This window comes from Homo sapiens, chromosome 10 (assembly GCF_000001405.40).
Source record: "Homo sapiens chromosome 10, GRCh38.p14 Primary Assembly".
Classification (NCBI taxonomy): domain Eukaryota; kingdom Metazoa; phylum Chordata; class Mammalia; order Primates; family Hominidae; genus Homo; species Homo sapiens.
The window spans coordinates 23,426,882-23,434,034 of NC_000010.11; the positions used below are offsets into that span (position 1 = coordinate 23,426,882).

General features: G+C 40.1%; 1 annotated feature.

Moving 5' to 3' along the window:
• Positions 5,276-6,338: an enhancer, noted in NCBI's record as "amplified fragment containing the chr10:23721086-23722148 (GRCh37) CAGE-defined region". NCBI's record gives its function as "transcribed enhancer in THP-1 monocytes {active_cell/tissue: THP-1}" and the evidence as "EXISTENCE:reporter gene assay evidence [ECO:0000049][PMID:24670763]".

The following is a 7,153-nucleotide window of genomic DNA, read 5'->3' on the forward strand; positions in this document are numbered from 1 at the left end:
AGATTTATCTTCCTGGGAATCTAATGAGATGATAATATTGAGACCACCTATTAAGGTAGGTTTTAACCTTAATCCTGGAAATGTTCATGTCTTTGATGCTACAAGCAGCTCTAAGCACCTCACACTTAAGAAAACCTGTACAAGGGCTAATTTTTGCTCTTCCAATGAAAACACACATCTAGGCTTGGGTTTCAAAGCCTTCTAGTGGCTGGCTCATTCTCACTACTCTGCTTCCACACTGTCCATTTTTCAACATGGCCAGACTCCTGACTCTCCTGCTTCTGCCATATTTCAAGTCCAGAATAGGGTCTTCATTGCTTCAAACGAGACTTCTATCCTTTAGGACAAAATTAACTTCGTATCTCATTTATGCAACTTTACTAGACAAAACATACTATAGATATGGGATCTGTCAAAGTTTTTAGTTGCAAGCAACAGCATTCTCTCTAAGTAGCTTTAAATATATAAAATGATCTTAGAAAGTTCAGAGAATTCTCCAGAGAGCTAAGTTGGAACAACCCCACACTGTAGAAGGGATTGCTCCAGGGAAGACATCTATCCCCCTGCCAATGTATATGGACAGCACGGTTTGTATGGATATTGCTGGGGACTCTGGCACAAGATGGACCACACTTCAGCTTCTTCCTGTTACTCATTGCAGGATTTAAGTCCTGGGTGAGTGAGTGTGTTTGACGGATGGAGCCTCAGTTGAATCCTGGACATTGCTTCATGGGTACCTGGGAGAATGAATCCAGGCTTTTATCTGGCAGAAGAAGGGCTCTTAATGTGAGGAAAGTGTGTTTAAAAAGACCCTGGGCAGTGACAAACATGACAAATGCCCTCCAAAGTCAGTAACTCTTAAAACTCTGTGTATTAGGCCTGGCACAGTGGCTCATGCCTATAATCCCAGCACTTTGGGAGGTTGAAGCCGGAGGATCACTGGAGCACAGGAGTTCAAGGTCAGTCTGGGCAACACAGAGAAACCTCGCCTCTACAAAAACAAATTAGCTAGGCATGGTGGCACACACTTGTAGTCTCAGCTGCTTGGGAGGCTAACACAGGAGGATCACTTGAGCCCAGGAGGTTGAGTTTACAGCCTGGGTGACAGAGTGAGACCTTGTCTCAAAACAAACACACAAACAAAACAAAAAAATCTGTGTGTGCTATGAGCTATGATCATGCCAGTGCTCTCCAGCCTGGATGACAGAGACCCTGTCTCAAAAAAAAAAAAAAAAAAAAAAACCCCTGAAACCCCAAAACAACAACTCTATGGGCTATGTGTCATTCAACATGAGTATGAGTATTAATCTATTCAGCAGCCATGATTTTATTTAGGGTCCACTTCTAACAAAATTGTGAAGTCAACCTCTCACTTAACTTCTTAGCATACTTTTCTCCAATCCTAGACTCTCTATTTCTCTCTCTCTTTCTTTTTCTCTCTCTCTTTCTTTTTCTCTCTCTCTCTTTCTCGGTGTTTTTCTGTGTTTCTTCTGGGAAACTTACTCTTACTTATCATCAGGGTACTCTTATCTTTTCATGGAATTGTGGCTGGGTAGGCAGAGGAAGGGAACACTTCTGAGGTCTCCAACGTTATTAGCCATCTGGCTGCTTGCTCTTTGAGCCCAGCCCGGGTATTATGCAGGCATTTGTATTGAAATGTTCTAAAAGTTCTAAGAAATTGTATTTTGGTGAAGGCCAGTATGTTTCATAATTTAGTTATCCCATTTACACTCTAAGCTTTTAAAAGTTGTTTCCATATCATTTCCTACAGCATAAGTGTCATATAATTTTAAGGTTGAAAGAAATCATGGAGATCATTAAACCTTCTTTTGTAGAAGGAATAATTAAGAGCCAGGGAGATGTAATGATCTGTTCAAAGTCAAACAATTAGTTTTGAGGCTGGGAGTAGAATCTGAAGGTCCCGATTCTAGCTTACATTAGCAAATTATAAGACATTCACCAAATATCAGAGATCCTAGGTGTTCATGGGTATGATAGAGGAATGAATGCTATAAGAGGAAATAGAGAAAAATGAAAATAACTATTTTCCATCTCAGTTATTAATAGGTTGATCATATATTCTATATTTTCTAGGCACTCCCAATTTACACCTGATATCTGAAATAATTATTAATAAGAACCCTTTTTACTCTAAAAATGTACTGGTTCAGAACATAAATTACAGGTTACTTAAAGAAACACATTAAAAAATTGCATTGTTTTTCAATGATTCCATTTGCTCAGAAAATGTATTGAAGTGAGAGTTGGCCTGTACTGTAAATACAATAACCTATCAGAGTAAAACTGAAGCTGTAATGCATTGGTTTTCAAATTCCAAGTCACAGTCATTAGTGGGCCATGAAATGAACTTAAGTTATAATTGACATTTAAAATAAGGAATAAAATGGAATATAAAATAGAATGCAGTATAGGTAGTAACAATGCATGTTATTTTATGAAACATCTCAGTTATACAAACATACACATGTCTTTATGTAGGGATGCTACAAAATTTCTAAAATACTCAAGAATAACTCATTTATTTAAATGCTATTAAAGATGTTGAAGTGTATTTTTAACATAAAAGATATTTTGACATATCAAGTAAAAAATAGATGACAGAATAGTATCCCTTTTTTTTTAAAGTCAGTATGTATGTGTGTGTGTGTGTGTGTGTGTGTGTGTGTGTGTGTGTGTGTGTGTGTGTGTGTATCAGGGTGTCTTAACCTTGGTACTATTGACATTTTGGGACAAATAATTATTTTTTGTAAAGGGCTGTCCTATACAGGATAGGATCTTTAGCAGATCATCGATCTCTACCCACAACATGCCAGGAGCAGCTCTCCTTCCAGATGTTACAACCAAAAAATGCCTCCAGACCTTGCCAAACTGCTGTGGTTGGGAACCGCTGATACAGATATAATTGAAGAAGAAGTTGTCACATTTATAGGTGGTGTTTTTTTGTTTTTGTTTTTAAGAGATACCGTCTGGCTCTATCTGCCAGGCTGGAGTGCGGTGGTGTGATCCTAGCTCAGTGCAGCCTCCACCTTCTGGGCTCCAGCTATTCTTCAGCTTCAGCCTCCTGAGTAGCTGGGACTACAGGTGTGCCACACCATGCCTGGCTAATTTTTTAATTTTTTTGTAGAGACATGGTCTCGCTCTGTTGACCAGGCTGATCTCAAACTCCTGGTCTCAAGTGATCCTCTGCCTTTGCCTCCTGAAGTGCTGGAATTACAGATGTAAGCCACTGCGCCCAGTCCTGGGTGAGTTTTTTTGTTTGTTTTTGAGACAGAGTCTTGTTCTGTTGCCCAGGCTGGAGTGCAGTGGCAGGAACATGGCTCACTGAAGTCTTGACTTCCTGGGCTCAGGGGATCCTCCCACCTCAGCCTCCTGAGTAGCTGGAACAAGAGGCTCATGCCACCACATCCGGCTAATTTTTAAGGTTTTTTTTGTAGAGACAGGGACTTGCCACATTGCCCAGGCTGGCCTCAAACTCCTGGACTGAAGCAATCCTCCCATCTCTGCCTCCCAAAGTGCTGTCATTATAGGCATAAACCACCACACCAAGACCCTGGGAGGACTATTTTTAAAAAATTGTTTCTCTCTCTCTTCTGCTTATTTATAGCTTTCGACTTTTTTGTGATGACCATGTATTATTTTCATAATAATAAATCCCATAAAAACTATTTACATTTAAAACAATGTGTTGGCTTCATAGTAGTTACATTTATAATTTCAACCATCAAGAAGATTCTTAAGGAAAAAAATACGTTCCTGTGAAAGGGAAACAATTATTTTTTCTCTGCAATTTCTACTCAACACAGAACACTTCTGTGACCAGGTGTAGGGGTTTTTCTCTACACACCAAGCAGTTCTGTGGTGGACACCAACTAGGTGTCCTATAATTCAGTTTAATTCTGACACTATCTACCTGGAGTTAGAGTCAGATCCCAGAGGTTGAGGGCTCTGTCCCACAAGACTGACCTCACTTCAGACATCAATTGCAAGTAGTAGGTTGTTACCTATACCTCTGACCGACTGGTTGCAATCTGGGGGTCCCATGATCCCCTACTTTGGTTTGATTAATTTGCTAGGATGGTTCACAGGACTCAGAGAAATAATTGCATTTATTAGTGTATTATTATTAATGAAGAGTATTACAAAGAATAGAGATGAAAAGATACAGAGGCTGAAGTATGGAGGAGAGAGAATAGAGCTTTCATTGTCCAAGAGTTTTTATGAAGTTTAATCTCCAGTGTCCCCCACAACCCCTTTCCTGGAAGTTGGTGGGTGGGGCTGAAACTTTCGACCCTCTAATCCTCTAATCACTTGCTCTTTCTGTTGATCAGCCCCATCCTGGGGCTAATCAGGGGTCCCACCCTAAGTCACCTCATTAGCAGAAACTCTGCCTGTAATCCCAGCATTTTGAGAGACTGAGGTATGAGGATCGGTCAAGCTCTGGAGTTCAAAACCAGCCTGGGCAACATAGAGAGACCTCCTCTCCACTAAAAATAAAAAAAATTAGCCAGGCATGGTGGCACACACCTGTAGTCTCAGCTACTCTGGAGGCTGAAGTGGGAGGATCAGTTGACCCTAGGAGGTTGAGGCTACAGTGATACATGATTGCACCACTGCACTACAGCCTGAGTGACAGAGCAAGACCCTGTCTCGAAATAAATAAATAATAAATTAAATACAAAAACAAAAAAAGAATAAGGTGGAGCTACATATTGTGACATGAAACGTGTCCAGTATATACTAATTAAGTAAAGAAAAAAGTATAGTGCAGAGAAAATATGTACCATATAATCCTGTAATGCCAAATTTTTGCTCACATGTGTATGATATATATAATCTATATATGCGTATTAAAAAGTCTGAAAATATATACAATAAATGTAAACAGTAGTTACCACTGGAGTGGGAGATGAGGGAGATGGGATGGGATGTAAAGGAATTTTACTTCTATTTTTACACATGTGCATTGCTTTAATTTTTTAACACACTTTTTTAAATTAAATAAAAAGCAATATTAAAGTAACTTAATATCTATCCTCTTTTCTCTTCTTTTTCTTTCCTTTTCTTTTTGGCCACCCAGGCTGGAGTGCAGTGGCATGATCATAGTTCACTGCAGCCTCAACCTCCTGGGCTCAAGCAATCCTCCAGCCTCAGCCTCCTGAGTAGCTGGGACTACAGGCACTTATCACCATGTCCGGCTAATTTTTATACTGTTTGTATAGATGGGATTTTGCCATGTTGCCCAGGCTGGTCTTGAATTCCTGGTCTCAAGCAATCCTCCCCTCTCATCCTCCCCAAATGCTGGAATTACAGGCATGAGCCACTGTGCCTGGTCCTCTTTTCTCATTTCCTTAAGTCTTGGTAAAATAGTTTTATAATATCTGGGCATTTTTACAATTGAGCTCTTAGTCATGAAGGGTGTGTTTCTCAGTCTGGCCTTCTACCCATATAGAAGGAGGGTGGGGTGTGGCTGTTGCCTGCTCCCCACAGAAACACCCTTATGGTCTCTAGGAGGGGTAAGTCATATTGTTATCACGTTCACTTATTTACAGACATTTAGCTACTAGGTAAACATTACAAAGATTGTGGATTTTTAAAATGTTGCCACACAAACAGCCAACTGAGTTATGTTAGAATCATCCTTGGTAACAGATTTCTGCATTTACTGCAGTTATTCAACGTTTGGGTGTGTGCGGGTGTCTTGTTTTTCCTACTTTATGTTAAGCTATTTACAAACAAGGGACATATGATTATACTTCTATTTAAACCTGTGCAGGCCTAGTTACTGTTAGCAGACCTGTCCATAGTATCGGTTAAGGCAACTAGAAGCAGGCAACAGAGCACAGAACAAGATGGTTCTAGTCTACTGTTCTCCTTTTCTAATAGAAATTAACTGAATTCCGGCAACACTTGAGGTTTTGGGGCTCCTCTCTTTCACCATATGCTGGAATGAGTCAAGGCTGTGTATGGGAAATGATCACTCTATTTAAATTATGTCATTTAAACCTCCCTGTTGAGTAACAGACTTGACTTCTCTCAACAGTCAATCGGATCCACAAGATGAAGAATGCCATTGTGTGAGTACAGATTTGAACCCTGTTGCTAATCACTGGATGACCCTTTGGGCTATTTATCAAAAGGATCTGCGCCTTTTCTAAGCCTAAACTCGAGAGTCAATGATTATCCTTTTGTCACAGTCTTTTCTCCATACTTTGTCCTATTTTTTTCTCCTACAAAAACCAAACACATTAGCCCAGCATAGTTGTGCATGCCTGTAGTCCCAGCTACTTGGGAGGCTGAGTTGGGAGGATCACTGAAGCCCAGAAGGTGGAGGTTATAGTGAGCTGAGATCGTGCCACTGTACTCCAGCCTGGGCGTCAGAGCGAGACCCCATCTCTATTTAAAAATAAGAAGAAGAAGAAAGAAAGAAAGAAAGAAAATAAGAAATTATAGGCCGGGCATGGTGGCTCACACCTGTAATCCCAACACTTTGGGAGGCCGAGGCAAGCTGACCACCTGAGGTCAGGAGTTCGAGACCAGCCTGGTCAACACGGTGAAACCCTGTCTCTACTAAAAATACAAAAATTAGCTGGGCGTGGTGGTGGCACACGCCTGTAATCCCAGCTACTTGGGAGGCTCAGGCAGGAGAATTGCTTGAATTCAGGAGGCAGAGGTTGAAGTGAGCTGAGATTGTGCCATTGTGCTCCAGCCTGGGCGACAAGAGCGAAACTCTGTCTTGGGGAAAAAAAAATATACATATATATATTTTTTTCATATGTGTGTATATATATATAAAAAACCCAAACATCTACTGATTGTTTGATCTAGTTATCATATATTGATTTAAAGTTTCTGGAGTTAAGAGGTCTTTACATAATAGAATTTTCAGTGATTCTCTTCTTTAGTATAATGTTCAAGTTATGCAAGTAATACATAAATTCAATTTCGGAAGAGCCATAGATTTAAATAATTAAGGGTAGCTTTCACTTCTGCCTGGTAATTTCACTTCCAGCTGGTGACACGTCAGCCTTGGTAGATGAGCTGGAGAAAGAATATTTAGGTGTTTCCATGACATGATGCTCTTTATTTATTTATTTTTTCACTTTAAATTGTCAGTCCAACAGAACACAAAGAA